The 22,871-nt window shown below is 48.1% G+C and overlaps 1 protein-coding gene across 4 annotated transcripts in view, besides 5 other annotated features; it reads right to left on the bottom strand.

Moving 5' to 3' along the window:
* Nucleotides 1–15,653, bottom strand: part of PTPRJ (protein tyrosine phosphatase receptor type J) — a 190,281-nt gene extending 174,628 nt beyond the window's left edge. For 3 of the 4 annotated variants that reach the window (NM_002843.4, XM_047427374.1, NM_001098503.2), the window contains exon 1: nt 15,204–15,653. In NM_002843.4, the coding sequence (NP_002834.3) occupies nt 15,204–15,299 (96 nt within the window). In that variant the 5' untranslated portion in view covers nt 15,300–15,653. The remainder of the gene's footprint in view (nt 1–15,203) is intronic. The other variant, XM_017018085.2, reaches the window with a different exon arrangement.
* Nucleotides 2,437–2,652: a silencer, noted in NCBI's record as "fragment chr11:48015112-48015327 (GRCh37/hg19 assembly coordinates)". NCBI's record gives its function as "represses an EF-1alpha promoter that drives an FKBP-Casp9 reporter gene in an ReSE screen in K562 erythroleukemia cells {active_cell/tissue: K562}" and the evidence as "EXISTENCE:reporter gene assay evidence [ECO:0000049][PMID:32094911]".
* Nucleotides 14,623–15,052: a silencer, noted in NCBI's record as "silent region_3340". NCBI's record gives its function as "represses an Ori minimal core promoter by ATAC-STARR-seq in GM12878 lymphoblastoid cells {active_cell/tissue: GM12878}" and the evidence as "EXISTENCE:reporter gene assay evidence [ECO:0000049][PMID:35858748]".
* Nucleotides 15,153–15,742: a silencer, noted in NCBI's record as "silent region_3339". NCBI's record gives its function as "represses an Ori minimal core promoter by ATAC-STARR-seq in GM12878 lymphoblastoid cells {active_cell/tissue: GM12878}" and the evidence as "EXISTENCE:reporter gene assay evidence [ECO:0000049][PMID:35858748]".
* Nucleotides 20,888–21,547: an enhancer, noted in NCBI's record as "OCT4-NANOG-H3K27ac-H3K4me1 hESC enhancer chr11:47996217-47996876 (GRCh37/hg19 assembly coordinates)". NCBI's record gives its function as "activates a minimal SCP1, AML or CMV promoter by ChIP-STARR-seq in naive H9 embryonic stem cells {active_cell/tissue: H9 hESC(naive)}" and the evidence as "EXISTENCE:reporter gene assay evidence [ECO:0000049][PMID:30033119]".
* Nucleotides 21,548–22,207: an enhancer, noted in NCBI's record as "OCT4-NANOG-H3K27ac hESC enhancer chr11:47995557-47996216 (GRCh37/hg19 assembly coordinates)". NCBI's record gives its function as "activates a minimal SCP1, AML or CMV promoter by ChIP-STARR-seq in naive H9 embryonic stem cells {active_cell/tissue: H9 hESC(naive)}" and the evidence as "EXISTENCE:reporter gene assay evidence [ECO:0000049][PMID:30033119]".

Here is a 22,871-nt window from a genome sequence, read left to right as displayed (position 1 = left end):
ATGCACCCACCACCATGCCCAGCTAATTTTTTTTGTATTTTTAGTAGAGATGGGGTTTCACCGTGTTAGCCAGGATGGTCTCGATCTCCTGACCTTGTGATCCACCCGCCTTGGCCTCCCATAGTGCTGGGATTACAGGCGTAAGCCACCGCACCCAGCCTTTTTTTTTTTTGGAGATGGAGTTTCATTCTTGTTGCCCAGGCTGAAGTGCAATGGCACAATCTCAGGTCACCACAACCTGTGCCTCCCGGGCTCAAGCACTTCTCCTGCCTCAGCCTCCCGAGTAGCTGGGATTACAGGCATGTGCCACCACACCCTGTTAATTTTTGTATTTTTAGTAGAGACAGGGTTTCACCATGTTGGTCAGGCTGGTCCTGAACTCCTGACCTCGTGATCCGCCCGCCTCAGCCTCCCAAAGTGCTGGGACTACTGGCGTGAGCCACCACGCCTGACCCCCACGTTCCTCTTCTAATGGGACATCCTGAAGTCATGTCATCCACACATGACTTCGATCTCTATGAAATCCCAAATAATTTACAACAGGAAGGCCCACACCCCAACATGATACCATGACATCACTTAATCTGGGTCAGACAGCCTTCTTACCACCTGATAGCTCCAGGATCTAAAATCCAAGACAAAGATACTCTTGTTTTCTGTGGCTCTGGGAATCATTTCACTCCTGCTGCATCAGGGCTCTGAGGATCAAAGGTCAACAAGTCACCCATCCTCACAGAAAGACAGCCTTCCCACCTGTGAGACTGGCCCAAGTCCAGCTGTCCTTCCTGGACTCAGACACGCCCTGTCCTATGTAGACCCTCCCATTCAGCTCCCCTGTGCCTCAAAGGAAGCCCACAACTAGCTGGCAGAGGTTCTGAGCCTCAGTTTCCTTCCCTATACCTACGTCATAGGATTAAATGAGTTAATATGTACAACGTGCTCACAACAGTTGATGATAAATATTCAACCGATGGTAGCTACTATTGTTACTTTTATTATTCAATTTATCTTAAGGCAATCACCAGATTATATGTTCAGAGCTGATCACAAAGTCAACTGAATAGGGCCTATCGTGACAAAAAAAATTTTGAAAACAAACTATAAGACTAATCACAGGACTTATTAGATAAATTAAGGTACCTCCACATAATGGAATGGATGCAACAGCTAACAGTTATACAAAAGAAGAATATTTACTGGCAGGGGGAAACGTTTGCAATATATTGTCAGTCCTTCACAGATTGCCATACATTGACCCTGAGAATAGCAAGGAGCGCTCTCACACCCCCAGAGGGTCTGCAGGGTAGAGATTTCTTTGTTATGTACTGTACTGGTTGAAAAAAAAATCCTGATGCAAATGTGGTATCCAGTCCATAATATGTCCATGTTTGTGGTTTTCAAAAAACATTACAAAATAATTTCTACTGAGCAACAGAGACCCTCCAGCAAGATGCCTGCTTTTTATCCTGTGGCTTCCTGGGGTACCCCTAGGGAGACATCCACCTCAATTGTTTTTTTATTTTATTTATTTATTTATTTATTTTTTTGAGACAGAATCTCACCCTGCAGCCCAAGCTGAAGTGCAGTGGCGCAATCTTGGCTCACTCCGCCTCCAGGACTCAAGCAACCTCCACCTCCAGGGCTCAAGTGATGCTCATGCCTCAGCCTCCCAAACAGCTGGGACCACAAGCGTGCACCACCACTAATTTTTTGTATTTTAGTAGAGACAGGGTTTCACCATGTTGCTCAGGGTGGTCTCTAACTCCTGAGCTCAGGCAATCCGCCTGCCTTGGCCTCCCAAGGTGCTGAGATTACAGGTATGAGCCACGGTGCCCGGCCCACCTCAACTGTTAAAAATTAAAAGATGTAAGTTACAAAGCACATGTAGGAGGTTATCCTATTGTAGTATAAATAGACAGAACATGCATTTAAAAAGACAAAGAAATCGCATCAAAAAGGTACCAGGAGTTAACCTGGATGAGTGGAGATTACAGGTAATTTTGTTTCCTTTTATCTGTATTTTCAATTTTTTTATATTAAAAAAAAAAAAAGGCCAGGCACAGTGGCTCACAACTGTAATCCCAGCACTTTGGGAGACTGCAGCGGGTGGATTGCCGGAGCTCAAGAGTTCACGACCAGCCTGGAAAACATGGTGAAACCCCGTCTCTACTAAAATACAAAAAACTAGCCGGGTGTGGCGGCCTGCACATATAGTCCCAGCTACTCAGGAGGCTGAGGCAGGAGAACTGCTTGAACCCAGGAGGCAGAGGCAGGAGAACTGCTTGAACCCGGGAGGCAGAGCTTGCAGTGGGCCAAGATCCCACCACCGCACTCCAGCCTGGGCAACAGAGCGAGACTGCCTCTCAAAAAAAAAAAAAAATGAACTGTTTGATGGGAATCAAATTAACCTGGGGATCAGGATCCTTCAGCCAGTTGGGCTAACAATCTCCAGAAGGTTCATTCAGGCCCATGCAAATCAGTGCCGGAGCCTAGAGACAGCACAGCCTAGAGCTAGAGGTCAGGCAGGGCTGAGCTGAGTCACCCACTATTCAGACCTCCCTCTTAGAGCCTCAGCTACTGGATGGTGGTCATTAAGTTATCATTTAAACTACAGACGCAGGCTGGGTACGGTGACTCAGCCCTATAGCCCCAGCACTTTGGGAGGCCAAGATGGGAGGATCACTTGAGGTCGGGAGTTCAACACCAGCCTGGCCAACATGATGAAACCCCGTCTCTACTAAAAATACAAAAACTAGCTGGGTGTGGTGGTGCACATCTGTAATCCCAGCTTCTCAGGAGGCTGAGGCAGGAGGATCACTTAAACCCAGGAGGTGGAGGCTGCAGGGAGCCGAGATCGCAACACTGCACTCCAGCCTGGGTGACAGAGTGAGACTCGTCTCAAAAAGAAAACAAACAAACAAATAAACTACAAATGCAGTAGTGTTAGCTCTCTACCAAATCCATTTACCAAAGGAACACACAACGCTGACCCATAGCTTGTTCACTAGGCTGGTCACCCTGAAGTTTCCAGAAAAGCAGCTACTTAAAGGCAGGCCTCCAAAGCTTTCAGTCGGCCCACTTCCCTTCCTGAAGTGCCTCTCGACAATTTGGTTCTTCCTGCTTACCTGCTGCAGGAATGGTTTCCAGCTACACATAGAGACACTGACAATGCATAATTGGGGACTTTATACTGGTTTTTTTTACTGTGTCTGGAAACAGAATCCACCTCCATCCCCCACCAGGCATCTTCCACCATTCCATTCCCTGGAACAGTGACTTCCAGTGTTTTCTGGCAACAGGTGAACCCATGATAAGAAATTCATTTTATATGCAATTTAGTATACACACATACACACCACACACACGTGCGCACATATATAACTGAAATGGACAATACTCACCAGCAAACTCTGGTATTTTTACAATACTTACCAGCAAACTCTGATATTCTACCATTTTTTTAATGCAGGTCATAACTCACTAAATTGATTTTACATCCCAGTTTCAAATACACCGCCTTACAGTATGTAAGTCTATGATTTGGTTTTCCAAACTTTACTTAAGTGTGTATTTTCTGGAACATATCAGATTGGAACCATATATAAATACTAATATTCACAGGACCAAAAACAGTAACTTTATATGGTTCAACCTAATAATTATGTGTGAACCAAACTGGAGGACTCCACTGATTCGCCTCTTATAAGCTAACTCTGAGTAATTCTTAAAAGTGGCCTATACTTGGGCGCGGTGACTCACACCTGTAATTCCAGCACTTTGGGAGGCCAAGGCAGGCAGATCACAAGGTCAGGAGTTCCAGACCAGCCTGGCCAACATGGTGAAACCCTGTCTCTACTAAAAATACAAAAATTAGCTAGGCATGGTGGGCGGGCTCCTGTAATGCCAGCTACTCAGGAGGCTGAGGCACAAGAATCGCTTGAACCCAGAAGGCGGAGGTTACAGTGAGCTGAGATCGCACCACTGCACTCCAGCCTGGGTGACAGGGCGAGACTATGTCTTAAAAAACAAAAAAAAAAAGAGGTGGCCTATACTATGAACGTACATGATTATTATTCTGCAAAAGACAGATGAAACCTGAATTGGACAAGTCAATTACAGCCACTCTGAGTCATACCTTTTTAAATGGCAATAACAATGACAAACTCAAGGACGCTGTGAGGATTGAACAAGCTCATATATGTGAAAGGGCCTTGTAAACTACAGTATAAGATTAAAAAAATTTAATTTTTGAATTGTAAATTATGCCAGTGTCTCAGCACAATAAGATAATAAAATAGCAGCCAATATCTGTTGAGGGATTTTTTCATGCTAAGCATTTGTCATGCAGATCCATTTAATCCTCCACAGCAATCCTATAAAGTAGGTATTCTTGTTATCCCCATCATACAGATGAGGACAGAAGAGACTCCAAGCATTAGAAGGATAGGCCCAAGGTCACACAGGTAGGAGGTGGAGAAGTTGGCTCTGACTCCAAAGCCCGTGCACTAAGCACTGGCCAGCAATTTCCCTTCACACCCAGAACAATCTCCCCATAGTTCTCCATGTCCTGGTCACAGGAACAAGACCACAAGCACGGTGTGCTCTCATTGAGACAGGAAAACTTCCCCATGACACAACGACATGAAAATTTGCTGGCCCCTCAGCCAGCAGCAGGAAATGCACAATCACCTTGCTGCCGTGGAAACAGGTGGCAAGTCAGCACAGACTCTCAGCCTCCCGTCTCCCGCAATTACAGCCAAGGATTATGTCTTTAAACTTTCCCATTGGTGGCTTAAAATAACTCCTCTTGACCGCCACAGAAAATGTACCGAGAGACAGGAGGCAGCCATAGCCAGAGTTGGCCAGGTCACAAGATAAAGAGAAATGTTCAAACCAATACAAAGAAAGCCCTACGTTTTGTTTTGTTTTTTTTAAGGGACACAGTCAATATCCCTGTGCTCCTTCGGGGCTAGGAATAGACACTGGCCACTCTTCAGTCACACCTGGTGGTCACTTAATTTATTTAACTATGCACGTTTGTCAAAAAGGAAATATTTAAATTGTGCTATCAGGGAAGTTCCACTGCTTCATATTATACATTTTAATACATTTGCGTGTGTCTGTGTGTGTATATATAATACACACAATCCATTGTGGATTTAATCTCAAACCCAATATAAGAGGTTTCATGGGGCCGGGCGCGGTGGCTCACACCTGTAATCCCAACACTTTCCGCCGGTCACGGTGGCTCATGCCTGTAATCCCAGCACTTTGGGAGGCTGAGGCGGGCGGATCATGAGGTCAGGAGATTGAGACCATCCTGGCTAACACAATGAAACCCTGTCTCTACTAAAAATACAAAAAAATTAGCCAGGCATAGTGGCGGGCGCCTATAGTCCCAGCCAGGCTGAGGCAGGAGAACGGCGTGAACCCGGGAGGTGGAGCTTGCAGTGAGCCAAGATTGCGCCACTGAACTCCAGCCTGGGTGACTGGGTGAGACTCCGTCTCCAAAAAAAAAAAAAAAAAAATCCCAACACTTTGGGAGGCCAAGGCAGGCAGATCACTTGAGGTCAGCAGTTCCAGACCAGCCTGGCCAACATGATGAAACCCTGTCACTACTAAAACTACAAAAATTAGCCAGGCATGGTGGCGCATGCTTGTAATCCCAGGCTGAGGCAGAAGAATCACTTGAACCTCAGAGGCAAAGGTTGCAGTGAACCAGGATCACACCACTGCAATCCAGCCTGGGTGACAGAGCAAGACTCCCCCTCAAAAAAAAGAAAAAAAGAGGTTTCATGACATAATTTTGACAATTCATAATTATTGATAATTACAATATTATGGTCTTTGCCCTAACTCTTCAGTAAATGGAATACCTCTCTCTTCTGATACACAAGTATCTATATTCACCTTTTTTTGTCACTTTAAAGGTAACATTATATATACATTGTTCTCTACATAGCCTTTTAATTTATTTAGATATCTTGGAGAGTATTTACCGCCTGCACCTATAGCTGTAACTCATTCTTATAAATGACTGGCTAGTTTTTTGTTTGTTTGTTTTTTGAGATGGAATCTCAGTCTGTCGCCCAGGCTGGAGTGCAGTGGCACAATCAGAAATACTCTTCTGATGTAACTCTTCAGTAAATGGAATACCTCGTGGTATTTTATAAAATGCTGTGTTTATGTTTCCATAGCCATTTACAAGGAATTTTAGCATAATATGATCACACTTAGCTTCTCCAACTACCCTGTGTCAGAGGTACTCCTATTATTAGCATTTTTGGAATATGAAGAGCAAGGATCAGAAAGGTCAAGATACCTGCCCAAGATCACACAGCTAATGAGGTGGTAGAGCCAAGACTCCAACAAAGGAGTCTTGTTCCAAATTCTATGCTCTCTTCACCACCCTAGGGTCTTATTTATCTCTGAGTTCCTAAGGAACAAGTGCTACATCTAAAATAATTGGCATGGGGGAGGGGGAATGTGTTTGCAATACAAATGACAATCGAAGGACTAATTTCCAAAGAGCTTATACAAATTGATAACAAAGATTATATCTATATCTATCTATCTATAGATATAGATTTTTTTTTTTTAATGAACAGGGAGTTAACCAAAAAACAAAAAATGGGGCCTGGCACAGTGGCTCACGCCTGTAATCTCAGCACTTTGGGAGGCCGAGGCAGGTGGGTCACCTGAGATCAGGAGTTCAAGACCAGCCTGGCCAACATGGTTCCTAAGGAACAAGTCCCATCTCTACTAAAAATACAAAAAATTAGCTGGGCGTGGTGGCACACGCCTGTAATCCCAGCTACTCAGAAAGCTGAGGCAGGAGAATCACTTGAACCTGGGAGGTGGAGGTTGCAGTGAGCCAAGATCACGCCATTGCACTCCAGCCTGAACAACAAGAGCAAAACTCTGTCTCAAAAAAAAAAAGAAAACAAAAAAAGAAGAAGAAGCAGAGGCAAATGACCAAAAAACTCAACTAACTCAAAATTAAAGATATAAATAAAAATAACAAGATACGGCCAGGCGCGGTGGCTCACACCTGTAATCCCAGCACTTTGGGAGGCCGAGGCGGGCGGATCACAAGGTCAGGAGATCGAGACCATCCTGGCTAACACGGTGAAACCTCGTCTCTACTAAAAATACAAAAAATTAGCTGGGCTTGGTGGCGGGCGCCTGTAGTCCCAGCTACTCGGGAGGCTGAGGCAGGAGAATGGCATGAACCTGGGAGGCGGAGCTTGCAGTGAGCCCAGCGCCACTGCACTCCAGCCTGGGCAACAGAGCAAGACTCCGTCTCAAAAAAAAAAAAAAAAAAAAAAAAAACAAGATACAATTTTTCACCTTTCAGACTAGCAAACATGTAAAAATTTTCATTTCAGATGAGACGGTATGGAGAAACAGACACTCTCCAAACCTATGGATACAGGTACAAACTGAGGGGACACTTTTGGAGGACAACCTGACAACAGCAATCACACTTTTAAATGCATGCATCTTCCAATCCAGTAATCCTGAAACTAGAAATTTACTCTACAGATAAACTTGTGAAGGTTACAAGAAATATCCACCAGAAACATTACAAAGTATGATTTGTGACGGGACAGGGAGGTGTACTAAAACAACTAAAGTGTCCATTGATAGGAGAATGGTCAAATAAATTGTAGTAAATCCACACATCAAAACACTAGTCATGGTCAGGCATGGTGGCTCACACCTGTAATCCCAGCACTGTGGGAGGCCGAGGTGGGTGGATCACCTGAGGTCAGGAGGCAGAGGCTGCAGTGAGCCGAGATCCAAGATCATGCCACTGCACTCCACGCTGGGGTACAAACTGAGACCGTGTCTCAAAAAAAAAACAATAAAATTAAAAATTTTAAAAAAACCTTCTGAAATTGGATACAATATTGTAAATATGTGCATTCCCTTTTGGGGAAGGATTCTTCCCTTTTACATACTCTCTATACTCTCTAGGGGTCTTGTATCTCTTCTTTTCCCCCCCAAGAAAGATTCAGAACCACTGTGTTATAGGCTCCATGTTGATATGAAGTTTTAATACTCACTCACTCATTCACTCAGAAACCATGAGATAACACTGGGCTACGCCCTGGCACAGGCTCCCAGAAAAATATCACCCAACTCCTGCCCTGGAGACGCAAATCGTTTGTAACACAATAACGACATTGTCCGCCCAAGTTTCAGAAATGGCAACAGGGGACAACTTCCCTCTAACAGGAAGAAGGAAAAGTGGAACTGAAAATTATTTGCATGTTTAAAATTAGACCTTCTGTGGGAGCTGACACTGCCTCGTTTTCAAAATGCCCCCCATCTGCTTACCACCACCCCTTATCCTACCATTTACATGCCAGGGAAATTCTGAGACAATAGGATGACTGCAGCTGTCACTAATAAGGAAGTAATAACAAACTTCCTACAGCCCCTGTCCTCCGAGGGGGCACCAGTAAAGCCACTGGAAAACCAGCCATACAAGGTGGTAAAAAAACTGCTCTGGGCTTCTCTGGTCTAAGATATTCACCACTTTCAGGGATCTCCACTTAGGGACTGGCTGTCCCTCATTATCACCATTCCTTCTCTGGCAAGTGGCAGCCCTTTCTCTGAAGCGGGCAGCAGGGATGTCATTCACAGTCACATCCTACATCACAACTGTGACTGGTTGGTTGGTGCTATCTGAGTCTTGCCCAGTGGCCAGTAAGAGCCATGAAGACAGGCTCCTGTTCCCCACCACGGCCTCTGCTCAGTGCCTGTCCCCCAGACTTAAGAAACTGATCATCTTTACAATTTGGTCATAACCACATCATACTCACATAATTATTTACCCAATGTTTTTCTTTAGACCAACTTTTTATGATATTTAAACAAATTTATTTATCATGATACCACTTTTCACCTCATTCGACCTATAAAATCATGGACTTTTGGGGGTCTTTCTTTACTAAGACCCCCTAAAATAAATTATTTTTTATTTTTTTTCTTTTTGAGACAGGGTCTCACTCTGTTGCCTGGGTTGGAGTGCAGTGGCGCTATCAAGGTTCACCGCAGCTTCAACCTCCCAGGGCTCAAGCCATCCTCCCAACTCAGCCTCTCAAGTAGGTGGGACCACAGGTCCACACCACCATGCCCAGCTAATTTTTTGTATAGACAAGGTCTCACTTTGTCATCCAGGCTGGTCTCAAACTCCTGGGCTCACCTGATCCTCCCACCTCTGCCTTCCAAAGTGCTGAGATTAAAGGAATGAGTCACCCTGCCCAGCCAATAATTCTTAACATTAGGGGAAAAAAAAGTATTGTGACTGAGCTCAGTTCATCTTGCACACACCCAGAGTTATTCCATACTACTCTGTGGAAAACACTTCATAAATATTTGTCATATGGGCCAGGCGTGGTGGCTCAGACTGTAATCCCAGCACTTTGGGAGGCCAAGGCAGGTGGATCACCTGAGGTCAGGAGTTAAAGACCAGCCTGGCCAATGTGGTGAAACCCCGTCTCAACTAAAATACAAAAACTAGCCAGACATGACGGAGCGTGCCTGTAGTCCCAGCTACTCAGGAGACTAAGGCAGTAGAATTGCTTGAACCCGGGAGGCGGAGGTTGCAGTAAGTGGAGATCACGCCACTGCACTCCAGCCTAAGCAACAGAGTGAGACTCCGTCTTAAAAAAAGAAAAAATTGTCATATGAACTAATGATCTGGGGCCTCATTTCTTCTCTCCAAGTAACAGCAGCAGCCACAACTAGCAGTTGGGCCTTGCTTTAGGTGTTACGTAGCAATTCCTTTTCTATCTTATTTGATCCTCTCAACCACCCAGTGAAGCAGGAAGTGTTAGTCCCATTTTCCAGATAAGGAAATGAGAAGTCACAGAGGTTAAGTGACTTGCTGAGTTTATGCAGTGGCAGAGCAAAGACCCAAACCCAGGTCTTTCCATCCCAGACCCCAGTCTATCTCCACAAAGGCAGACTTGCCTTGTAAACTGAGGCCCCAAAGAAATATAAGCAGGAAAGAGGGCACCTGGGTTCTCTGTGTTACAAATGGAGCAGATCATACAGGGTTTAGGACACAAAGAACCCAAAATAAAGGTAGCATGTCCCTGCAGTCCTGGCTACTTGGAAGGATGAAGAGGGATGTCAACTGGACCCAGGAGTTCGAGTCCAGCCTGGGCAACACAGCAAGACTGTCTAAAAAATGTCTGGGCCAGGTGCGGTGGCTCAGGCCTGTAATCCCAGCACTTTGGGAGGCCGAGGTGGGCGGATCACCTGAGGTTGGGAGTTCAAGACCAGCCTGGTCAACATGGCGAAACCTCATCTCTACTAAAAATACAAAAATTAGCTGCGCATGGTAGCGCACGTCTGTAATCCCAGCTACTCAGCAGGCTGAGGCAGGAGAATCGCTTGAACCCGGGAGATGGAGGTTGCAGTGAGCCGAGATCGTGCCACAGCACTCCAGCCCAGGCAACAGAGTGAGACTTCGTCTCAATAAATAAATAAATAAATAAATAAATAAATAAATAAATAAATAAATGTCTGCCACCTCCTCTCTTAGCTGCACACAGAAAACCTTCTCCATGACTTTTTACAGCACAGGATGGTAAATTGGGGCAGTGGAGACATCAGCCCTGGCTCCGCCACGTAGTAGTTAATGAATCTATAGTAAATTATTTTTCTTTTTTTTTATTTCTCTGTGAAGATTCCAGAAGTATACAGTTAAGTTCTGAACCTCAGTTTTCTCTCAGATAAAATAAAAACATGGCTGGGTGCAGTGGTTCATGCCTGTAATCCCAACACTTTGGGGAGCCAAGGTGGGCAGATCACTTGAGCCCAGAGGTTCAAGACCAGACTGGGCAACATAGCGAGACACCATCTCTATTAAAAAAAAAAATTAGCCAGGAATGGTAGCACACGCCTTTAGTCCCAGATACTTGAGAGGCTAAAACGAGAGGAGCCCTTGAGCCCAGGAGGTTGAGATTGCAGTGAATTACGTTTGTACCACTGCACTCCAGCCTGGGTGACAAAGCAAGACCCTGTCTCTTAAAAACAAAAACAGGCCGGGCACGGTGGCTCACGCCTGTAATCCCAACACTTTGGGAGGCCGAGGTGGGCAGATCATGAGGTCAGGAGATCAAGACCATCCTGGCCAACATGCTGAAACCCTGTCTCTAATAAAAATCCAAAAATTAACTGGGCATGGCGGCACGTGCCTGTAATCCCAGGTACTTGGGAGGCTGAGGCAGGAGAATCCCTGGAACCCAGGAGGCGGAGGTTGCAGTGAACCAAGATCACACCACCGTACTCCAGCCTGGCAACAGAGCTAGACTTCATCTCAAAAAAAAAAAAAGGCCGGGCACAGTGGCTCACGCCTATAATCCCTGCACTTTGTGAGGCCAAGGCAGGCAGATCACCTACGGTCAGGAGTTCAAGACCAGCCTGGCCAACATGGTGAAACCCCATCTCTACTAAAAATACAAAAAGTAGCCAGGTATGGCGGCATACGCCTGTAATCCCAGCTACTCGGGAGGCTGAGGTAAGAGAATCACTTGAACCCAGGAGGTGGAGGTTGCGGTGAGCCAAGATTGCACCATTGCACTCCAGCCTGGGTGACAGAGTGGGACTCCCTATCAAAAAAAAAAACAAACAAATAAACAAGAACAGCACCTACCTCTTGGTATTTCTGAAATGGCCAAATGAAATAATGCATTAAAACCCTTAGCACACAGTGCCTGTCATGCATAATGTTACCTATTAATTATAATATCATCAGTGGCATTATATTAGAAGGGAAACACACAGAAAATTGCCTCTTATCCTGCACTCAAAATAATTCCCTAGCCCAAGAAGTGAATGAACTGAGAAGTAATTACTGATGATCCTCTGGCTACACCCAGGCCTACGGTTGTTCAGCCACTCTGCCTCAGCCCCAACCTCAAGCAAAAATTACTTTTAGGAGCTAAATAACCCCTTTGCTGACCAAAATTGCTCATTTGGAAGCCAGGATCCTCTCTGCTTAGGAAAGCTTGGGTATTCCATGGTTATCTTTATCGTGGGGCCCAACTTGAAGTCAGCTCAAAGTCACGGTCTAACCATAAACCAATTTGCTGTTTTCGTAAACTGTCTGCAAACAAAACATAATCGTTTGGTTTTCCCGTTGTCCTGAAGCAAAACAAAAATATTTAAAGTCACTCATATGAGAATCTAACAAGCAGTTTAAAGAGGAGTCAAAATATACTTTGTACTCTGGATGGAACAGGTAAGGAATCAGGCTTAAGGATTAGCCATGAGAGATAATAAACCCAGTTATTATTCACCAGGAAACAAGAAAGTGAAGATAAAACAAAACCAAAACACTACAAGACCAATAAAACAGCTATCAGTCACCAGCTTTTTTTTTTCATTTATTCTTTTAAAATCAGCCCACATCAAGCTGATTTCTTAAAGAACCTGTCAGGATTAAATTTCTCAAGGAGGCAGGAGGAAAACTGCTTTGTCACATTGCCTAAAACATACACACAAACCAAAACTACTGTGCAAAACTGCTATGAGAATGGGAGGAGTCAGACACTGCAACTAGCAAAGTCCTCATGTTGGAATCATCTCTGACCGTCCTTCCTGTCTTAGAAAAGGGGAATGAGATGCCAGTTCAAAAATTGCTTTTCCGGGCCTACTAAGCACTGAGCCTTCCGGCATCTCAGCTTTCCAGCTTCCACACCCGCCCTTATTAATGTCCAAACAGAGCTGTGTCTTTTCCATGACTTGTCCATTTGTTTAACCTGGTATAGTTGATTCCATTTTATAACACACACATAAGCACATACACACACAATCCAGGCCTCAAAAAACCAGTCAGCTCTTAGGAAGGTAGTCACATACTTGTTTCCTAAACAAACTTCAGAAATATCTCAAATTGATTCAACTTTGAAAAATTCCATTCACACCCACCATTTTGAGAAGACACAGTGATACGTCCCTATCATTAAAAGTAAGATCAAAGTGAAAACACGGGAAAAAAAAAAATAGCACTTTGAAAATATGAGGCCCAGGCCGGTGACCCAGGTTCCCATCTTGTCTTCTCTAATACCTTGCTGGGTGACCTCAGCCTGCTCCCTGTCTTCTCTGGACATCAATATCCTCATCTAAGAGCTCTGAGGGGTTTCAGCTGTCTTGAAAGTCTGGTCCAGCTCAAAAATGCACTGATTCCCTGAAATATCCATTATCAAAATGAACTGCTGAATGTGGATTTTGAAGATGCTTCTTCTGGGAGCCTTTTAGACTTCCTATTTCATAATGTGTCCAAAAAAAAAAGAAATAAGAGAGTCCTTTTGAGGTTCTACAGAACAAACCATAGAGGAAGGAAATATCTAAATACAGGACAAGTGTAGAGTGGCAATATGCTAATGAAATACAAGGAAGGATTGAGCAAGCAATAAATTTACCCAAGAAACTTTTTGCTGATTGAGAACACAGCTAGCAACCACTATGGCTGGAGCAAAAATAAATAAATTTTATATATATATAATTTAAAATTTTTTTGCTGAAGCAAAAAAAAAATTACATATATTATACATTTAAAAATAAATGAAGCTTTAAGTTTGGGGGTTTTCTGTTTTTTGTGGTTTTTGTTTTAGCATAAACTTTTGATACAAGAAATCTTCAAATACAAGGCTTTTTTAACTTCAGACACTGCTTCCCTGAATTTCCTTACATGGACAGGGAGAAGACAGCCCCCACAGGCACTGTACCTTAATAATGAGAATCCCATGTGGAAACCCTTAATATTTACAAAGTTCTTTTAGACATTGGCCAGTGGAAGCCCCTCAAACAATTCCATTGGGCAGAGGGTGCTATACTCATTCTACAGATGCGGTTAACTGAGGGTAGAGAAGCCTGAAGAGCAAGTCCAGCCCTGTGGCCCGGCCCTGGAGCCAGTCTCCTGACATCTACTCCCAGGTTCTCTGCAGGAGGTCACATTGCCTTCTGGCCCCCAGGAGAGCCTGTGCAGAACCTGCTGGGGAAACTGCGAGGAGAGACCCTTGGGTGCCGAGGGTCACGCAGCCCCCAGGCCCCAGCCCCCTTCTCCTACAGCCTGCTAGGCGGCATTGCTGCCCCAGGGTGATGCTTCTGCTCTCTCCTGTATTCGCGCTGGAGAAGTTTTCCCTGAAACCAGGTTCCATCCCCAGCCAATAACTCATTTCCTCAGAGATGGTGTCTGTATAAAACAAGCAAGATGGTCATTTGCAGAAACGCACAGCAAGGCAGCCCTAGACCGCTTCCCCTGCGGGTTCAAACCCCAACAGGCTCCAGAGGCTAAGAGGACGTGCCCGCTGGCTCAGCTCCCATGGCACGGGCTGGGTGCTCCGCTATTTCACTTCTCTCCCTCAGTTCCCCATCTGTGAAATGGGAATGCCCCTTCAGCTGCTCTGCCTCAGCCCCTATGGAAATGCCAGGAAGGGGAAAGGTCGGTCACCAAAACGCCAGGGACAGCATTATCTGAAAAGTGAAGCCAGAAAAGAGGGTGAGGGTGGGGTGGGGAGGGGGAGCCAGCGCCCACAAAGCACGAATTAAACACCCATGAAATCAAGCACGACGCCAAGAGGGCCGGCTGCCTTGAGAAAAGCCAGCGTGCGGCCACCTTTTCCCCGGCCTGGGAACTTTCCCCAGGAACAGGGCCCTCGGCCCGGAGTCCCGCGCCTCGCCCAGGGCCCCACTGCCCAGCGCCTGGCCCTGCCCTGTCGCCCCCGCCGCCCCTCGGGCCCCTGCAGGCCGGGTCGGAGGTCTGTCGGCAAAGGCTCAGCCAGGCCGCCCGGCTCTGCGTCCCCAGACCTCCGCAAACACGCCCCCTCCGGCCGCCTCCGGCTAGGAAGCCGGGCCCGTGCCCGCCAGATGTGCCCAGCGCCGGGAAGAGCCGGGCCAGGGACGGCCTGGAGCCCGCGCGGAGGCTTTCCCCGGGAGGCTCGGGCACCGCGGCACCCGGATCCCGCCTCTCTCCCCCGATCCTGGGCAGCCGGAAAAGGGATCGATCGCCGGCGTGCGAGGCCGGCCGGGGTCCCCGCAAGTCGCCTTCCGGGGATCCGGGGATCCGGACCCCCGCCCCCTTCCCCGGAACCCCCCGGGGGGGTACGCTCGGGCAGGTGCAGTCAATGCCAGTCCCGCCCCAGCCTCCTGCCCCCCGCCCGAGCCCACCCGGCGCTTACCTGGCCCAGGCGCAGCAGCAGCAGCAGCAGCGGCAGCGCCCAGCGCAGCCCGGGCGAGCGCGGAGGCAGCCGCGCCTCCCGCGCCGCCGGCTTCATGCCCCGCGCGCCCTGGAACGTGCCCCGGACGCGCGAATCGGGCCCCGCCGTGCGCCCGAGCCCGGGCACCGTCGTCGCCGCCTCCTGCCGTCTCCTTCGCCTCCTCCTCCGCCAGCCGGTCCGCCTCGTCCCCGCTCCGCCCGCCCCGGGCTTCCCCGGAGACATGGCAGCGGCGGCGGCGGCCGCGGCCACACGCCGGAGCCTAGCGCGGCTGCCGCGGGGGGGCCGCGTCCCTGAGCGCGCAGGGGCTTCGCGGGGCGGAGCGAGCGGCGCCCACCCCCAGCGCGCGGCTACCCGGTCCCGGCTCCCGCGGCTGCTCCCGCTGCCTCCTCCGCGCGTCATGCGGCTGGGGCTGCTGCAGGGAGCCGCGGCGAGCGCTCGGCCCCCTCCCTTCCCCTCCCCCTCTGAATATTCATCGCTTCCTCCCGCCCCGGCCGGCCCGGCGGCTGCGGAGCTCCGCAGCCCCTCGCCGCCGCCCGCCGCTGCCCCCGCCCCCTCCGAGCCGGCCGCGGATCCCCTCCCGCGGGCAGAGGAAGCGCTCCCGCCTCGCCCGCCCCTCCGCCCAGCCCTCCCACATTCCTGGGACTTGGAGCCCGGGACCAGGCTCCGTGGCTCTAGCGCCTCGAGCCGGCACCCCTCAGGACGGGCTCCCCAGCCTCACACCAGGTCCACGGCGCCGGGTTCGGGTGGGCAGAGGTTGACCGAGACCCCTACTGAGAGCGCAGCCAAGCCTGATTGTAGACAGCAACCCGGCGAAGGCGCGTTTGACCTGGCCCTGGGTGGGCTTGGGGGTGCGTGAACCCCGAAATTGTAGAAGGCACGCTGTACATTGTGTTCTGTCCCCCAGCCCCCGAGCGCCGGCCAGGGAGGCAGAGAGCCCAGTACAAGCCAGTCCAGGGATTAGAACCCCAGCTGTGGCATATGGTGGACGGGGCTCTGCTGGTAGTACCAGCCCTGTGAACTCTGGAGACGCATTTCTCCTCTCTGGCCGACCCCACCCACCCTCCTCTCCTCCCGTGTGAAATAAAGATCGTACTAGGACGTGTGGAGAGAGAGGTCCACTGCATTCGCGATTAAACGAGACAGTAGTTAGTAAAGTCCTAAACACCTAGCCTGACACATCGTGGGACTCCACATACATTAGCTCTTCTGGAAGCTTTCATCACGTTGTTAAAGAGGTCAATGAACTGACAGGAGTTAAAGATCACAGCAGATATTACTCCTGTGCCCATGCACAGAGGAAGACACTAGGATCAGGGAGGCTATGCCACTTGCCCAGGAGAAGCCGCAAGAGAAAGGGCCAAACCAGAGAGTGCTAAGGAGGAAGAGGTTAATTCCAACCAGGAGAGAGGTGACACCTGAGCTGGGCTTTGAAGGATGTGTTGAGTTTCACCAGGCCAGTAGAGGGGAGAAGTGTCTCAGGAGGTGGGGCCAACTTGGCAGAAACGAGGCAGCAGATGCTTCGAGCTTGGCCTTCGGAGAAACAGGAATGGGAGGCTGGGGGATTCATACTGGGGGAGACTTCAAAGGCCAGGATAATGAGTCTAGGCTGGATTCTGTGTGCAGCAAGATGCAGACCACGAGGTGTCCAACACTACCTCCAGACACCCGTTGGGCCTCAGGTTACCATCTACAAGATGGGAATACACATTCACTTACAGGGTCTAAGTGGTTCCCACCAGACAACACACCCAGACAAGCACTGAGGATAAAGAAACTTTGCCAGGCCGCACGATGGCTCACGCCTGTAATCCCAGCACTTCCGGAGGCCAAGGTGACTAGATCACTTAAGCTCAAGAGTTCGAAACCAGCCTGGGCAACGGGGTGAAACCCAGTTTCTACAAAAATTAGCCGGGTGTGGTGGCACACAGCTGTAGACTAAGCTACCTGGGAGGCCGATACAAGGATGGCTTGAACCTAGGCTGCAGTAAACCAAGATGGCAACACTGCACTCCAACCTGGGGAATAACGTGAAAACCTGTCTCAAAAAAAAAAAAAAAAAAAAGAAGAGGCTGGGCGTGGTGGCTCACACCACACCTGTAACCCCAGCACTTCAGGAGGCCGGGGCAGGCAGATCACTTGAGGTCAGGAGTGCGAGACCAGCTTGGCCAACATGGTGAAAACCCATCTCTACTAAAAATACAAAAGTTAGCTGGGCGTGATGGCGTGCCTGTAATCTCAGCTACTCCAGAGGCTGAGGGCAGGAGAATCGCTTGAACCCGGGAGACGGAGGTTGCAGTGAGCCAAGATTGCACCACTGCACTCCAGCCTGGGTGACAGAGTGAGACTCCATCTCAAAAAAAAGAAAAGAAAAAGAAAAAAGAAACCTTACCTATGGACTTACACACCTTGCCACCCTTCATTTAAACACTATGTAATTATCATAATTCACAAGGATTTTTGTTCCTCTGTGCCTCCTCCCCTCTTGAGGCAGAGACATAAAAGGTGTTCATGTCCATGATACCCAGAGGGAAGGAAAGCTTGATTTAAGATGCTACCAGGGGGCTGGGCACAGTGGCTCACGCCTATAATCCCAGCACTTTGGGAGGCTAAGGTGGGCGGATCACCTGAGGTCGGGAGTTCAAGACCACCTGACCAACATGGAAAAACCCTGTCTCTACTAAAAATACAAAATGAGCTGGGTGTAGTGGCGCATGCCTGTAATCCCAGCTACTCGGGAGGCTGAGGCAGGGGAATCGTTTGAACCCAGGAGGCAGAGGTTGCAGTGAGCAGAGATCGCGCCATGGCACTCCAGCCTGGGCAACAAGAGTGAAACTCTATCTCAAAAAAAAAAAAAAAAGATGCTACTGGGTAGCCAAGGATGATTGCCAATTATAAAAAAGAAAAAGAAGATGATAGTAGGTCTGCAGGCTGCCTCGGATCCTCACAGACCCTACAGACCCTACTAACCCTGAAGACCGACCCAGGTCTCCACAGATTCATGGCTTGGGTCAGCAAACAGCTCTGTGAACTCCTGCACGCCCTTCAGTTTTCTCCTGGGTAAAATGTATGCCCAGCTTAAGTATTGGTTGGAACTGGATTTCGCCACTGCACAGTGATGAAACAAAATAAACAGCCTTTTCAGGAAAGGGAGTGAAGACCTGAATAATAAACTACCTCTTCAGCCATAAACAGATCACACTGGATTAATGACCTCTGAGAGAAATGAAATTAATCCTGGGTAGGTGTTACATCAACTCCTTGAGGACAGGGGTTGGGACCTCCTCACCTTGGTAGCCCTGCAACGTCCCACTCAGTGTCTTGCCTGTAGCAGGGATTGAATATTCGTGCAGATGCATGGCCACAAAAATGTATCCAGGGGTAACATGATGTGAAAGTTTATTTTTCGGCTGGGCGCGGTGGCTCACGCCTGTAATCCCAGCACTTTGGGAGGCCGAGGTGGGCAGATCACAAGGTCAGGAGATGGAGACCATCCTAGCTAACACAGTGAAATCCCGTCTACTAAAAGTAGAAAAAATTAGCCAGGCGCAGTGGCAGGTACCTGCAGTCCCAGCTACTCGGGAGGCTGAGGCAGGAGAATGGCATGAACCTGGGAGGCGGAGGTTGCAGTAAGCCGAGATCGCACCACTGCACTCCAGCCTGGGCAACAGAGCAAGACTCCATCTCAATAAAAAAAAAAAAAAAAAAGAAAGAAAGAAAGTTTATTTTTCCACGAAGATAAGTTGGGGAAGGATCATTCCCTTTGCAATGGATTTGAGACTATATTCCAGTCTATAGGTTTCTCCATCACATGTCACTTCACCTAGAAATTCCAAGATGCCCCAACACTGAGTTGGGTGCACTTCCTCCTCCATCCACCATAGCTCCCTGTGCTTAACCTTATCTAACCACAATTTTGTAATTGCCTGTTTATTTGACCACCTTCCTCGCTGGACTCTAAGACCCTTGAAGATGGGGTCTGCATCTTGTTTATCATTGTATCCTCAGCAAATAACAGTCACTCAGATAATATTGATTTAAATTAAATAGCAAACTAAGGTATTCTGTATATGCCTGTTCTCTCACGCACAAAACAAATTCCATCTGCAAACAACTTTTCAGGAATAAATTCTACTATGCAAAGTTCAGGACACATTCGCCTTGAGAATATACAATATTTGACCTTCTAATCATGTCTCCTTCAAACAAACCTAAAGCTTTACTGAACAGAGGGCTAGATAAATAGAGGACCAAAAGGCTAATAAACCAAGAACCTGGAGTGGAGGGCTCCTGGATGCATTCCAAAACTTCCTCATAGAAGCCACCCAGTGCCAGCTCACACCTATAATCCCAGCACTTTGGGAGGCCAAGGTGGGCAGATCATGAGGTCAGGAGTCTGAGACCAGCCTGACCAACATGGTGAAACCCTGTCTCTACTAAAAAATACAAAAATTAGTTGGGGGTGGCGGCACACGCCTATAATCCCAGCTACTCAGGAGGCTGAGGCAGAAGAATAACTTGAACCCAGGAGGCGGAGGTTGCAGTGAACTGAGATCACGCCATTGCACTCCAGCCTAGGTGACAGAGCAAGACTCTGTCTCAAAAAAAGAAAAAGAAAAAGAAACTCAATGGCTTGTTATAATATAGATTCCCATGCCTTTCCATAGACTGTAGAGGGTGAAGCCTGGGAATCTGTATTTTTTTTTTTTTTTTAGGCAAAGTCTTGTTCTGTCACCCAGGCTGGAGTACAGTGGCCCGATCTCGGCTCACTGCAACCTCTACCTCCCAGGTTCAAGTGATTCTGCTGCCCTAGTAGCCAGGATTACAGGTGCCCGCCACCATGCCTGGCTAATTTTTGTATTTTTAGTAGAGATGGGGTTTCTCCATGTTGTCCAGGCTGGTATTGAACTCCTGACCTCAAGTGATCTGTGCCCACCTCGGCCTCCCAAACTGCTGGGATAACAGGCGTGAGCCACCACACCTGGCCAGGGAATCTGTATTTTTAACTAGCCGTTGGAAAATTCTTACTGTCAGGCATGATTACAAAACATTGTTTATCTGCTGGGTGCCTGTAGTCCCAGCAACTCAGGAGGCTGAAGCAGGAGGATCACCTTAGCCCAGGAGTTCCAGGCTATAGTATGCCACGGTCATTGCCTATGAATAGCCACTGCACTCCAGTCTGGCAAACCCAGCAAGACCCTGTTCTCTAAAAGGAAAAATTTTACAGCTGGGCATGGTGGCTCATGCCTGTAATCCCAGCACTTTAGGAGGCCGAGGCAGGCGGATCACTTGAGCTCAGGAGTTTGAGACCAGCCTGGGCAATATGGCTAAACCCCATCTACAAAACAATACAAAAATTAGCCAGGCATAATGGTGGATCCCTGTGGTCTCAGCTACTTGGGGGGCTAAGGTGGGAGGATCACTTGAGCCCGGGAGGCAGAGGTTGCAATGAGCCGAGATTGCACCACTGCAGTCCAGCCTGGGTGACAGAGTGAGACCCTATCTCAAAAAAAGGAAAGAAGGCAGGGCACGGTGGCTCATGCCTGTAATCCCAGCGCTTTGGGAGGCCGAGGCAGGTGCAGATCACCTGAGGTGAGGAGTTCGAGACCAGCCTGGCCAACATGGCAAAACCCTGTCTCTACCGAAAATACAAAAACACACTGGGCGTAGTGGTGCATGCCGGTAATCCCAGCTACTCAGGAGGCTAAGGCAGGAGAATCACTTGAACCCAGGAGGCAGAAGTTGCAGTGAGCCAAGATCGTGCCATTGCACCCCAGCCTTGGCTACAGAGTGAGACTCCATCTCAAAAATAAATAAATAAATAAATAAATACAGACCACTTATCAGGTACCCACTGGATGCCAGCACTCATCCAGGTACTTTACATCCATTATTTCTACTCCTTACAACAATGCTGTATAATAGGCATCATCATCAGTATTTTACAAATAAGGAAACTGAGTCTCAGGCTTACTTACTTACACAAGGTCACACAGTTTCAGACTGGCAAAAACCAGGATCTAAAACTATATCTTTCTTGCCACTATGCCATGATGTTCCTCCCCTTGACATTTGTAGACAAGTTAACATAAAGTGATCTGTGTTGGCTCTTATTTCTTATATTATTACTCTCTTGGGCCTCCGTTACCCCAATTTTAGAATGGGAAGGGATAGAGTACAAGACTTTCTTCTTCATCCCCCAAGAACAGGGAATAGGAGAGGCAACTATGTTTAACAAGTCCACTAACCCACCAGGAGGCAGCTCTGCTGAGCACCAGCCTAGAACCAGGTCACCAGCCCCGCAGGGATCCCATTCAGCCTGGCAACCCTCAGTGTATTTTAAAAGCCACCATGAGCAAACCATTCTCCAAAGCCCTCCTAAGCGGAATGGAATGTTTCTTGGGAGTCTGATTAGCTAATGTTGCAGGCATGGCTGCCCTGAGACCTTTCTGCCTCACAGACTGAACTGAATCAGAATGGAAAGGAAGACTTTTAGAAAATTCTTTAAAAAAAAAAAAAGTAGCACTTCATCTTTATAATAGTAACAGGATGTTTCCTGTGGACTAATAACTGGGCTGTGGTTAGAACTCCATGTTTGTCCACCAGACCTCAGTTCCTCTCTAAACACTGTCTTAGTCACCTGCCCATGCACAGAGCTCGGGAGTGCCTTGGCAGTCCTGTTCTTGTTTCTCATTTCAAGCATTTGCAACATTAAGCATTTTCCCAATTCTTTTCTAGTGTGTGCGTGCCTGCGTGTGTGTGTGTGTGTGTGTGTGTGTGTGTGTGTGTGTTGAGATAAGAAACAAAGTTTGACTTCCAAAGAGATAGTTGCATGCCAAACCCCAAAAGCAAGAGACTAGAATGCAACCCAGTCAGAACCCAACAATCATATTTTAACCATAAATTTCCCCAGATTTTCAATGCAGGGGAATAAAACCCTGTAACGTCTGGGAGAGCAGAAACAGGGCTATTGCTGTCAAGGGTCCCCACCCTGTCCCCATGTCAGAAACCCACTGGCCTCTGTGCCCCAGCCCACCTCCTGAGCTGTTAGGATCTGAGTCAAACCCCCAGTGAGCCCAGTACCTGCATGTCTGGCAGGACAGACCCAGGACACAGGGTTTCAGGATATCTGAAAACACAGGGAGTGTGTGACAAGGAGAGTCGAGGCCTAGAGGGCAAGGAGCTTTTGTCCAGGGCTTGAGAACAACTTCTATACAAAGCCTAGAAGTGAGCTGGGCATGGTGGCTCACGCCTGTAATCCCAACACTTTGGGAGTCTGAGGCAGATGGGTCACCTGAGGTCAGGAGTTCGAGACTAGCCTGGCCAACATGGTGAGACCCTCGTCTCTAGTAAAAATACTAAATTAGCCAGGCATGGTGGTGCATCCCTGTAATCCTAGCTACTCAGGAGGCAAGGCTGGAGAATCACTTGAATCCAGGAGGCGGAGGTTGCAGTGAGTTGAGATTACACCATTGCACTCCAGCCTGGGCTACAAGAGTGAAACTCCATTTCAAAAAAAATCAAAGCCCAGAAGTGGCAAGCAGTGGGCAGGAGGCAGTCAAGCCTGCAGCAGAACCATCACCTCAAACAAAGAAAGGACTGAGAGGTACAAAGACAAGAAGGGCGCAAGGC

This window comes from Homo sapiens, chromosome 11, assembly GCF_000001405.40.
Source record: "Homo sapiens chromosome 11, GRCh38.p14 Primary Assembly".
Classification (NCBI taxonomy): Eukaryota; Metazoa; Chordata; class Mammalia; order Primates; family Hominidae; genus Homo; species Homo sapiens.
This window is presented reverse-complemented; position numbering and strand designations above follow the sequence as displayed.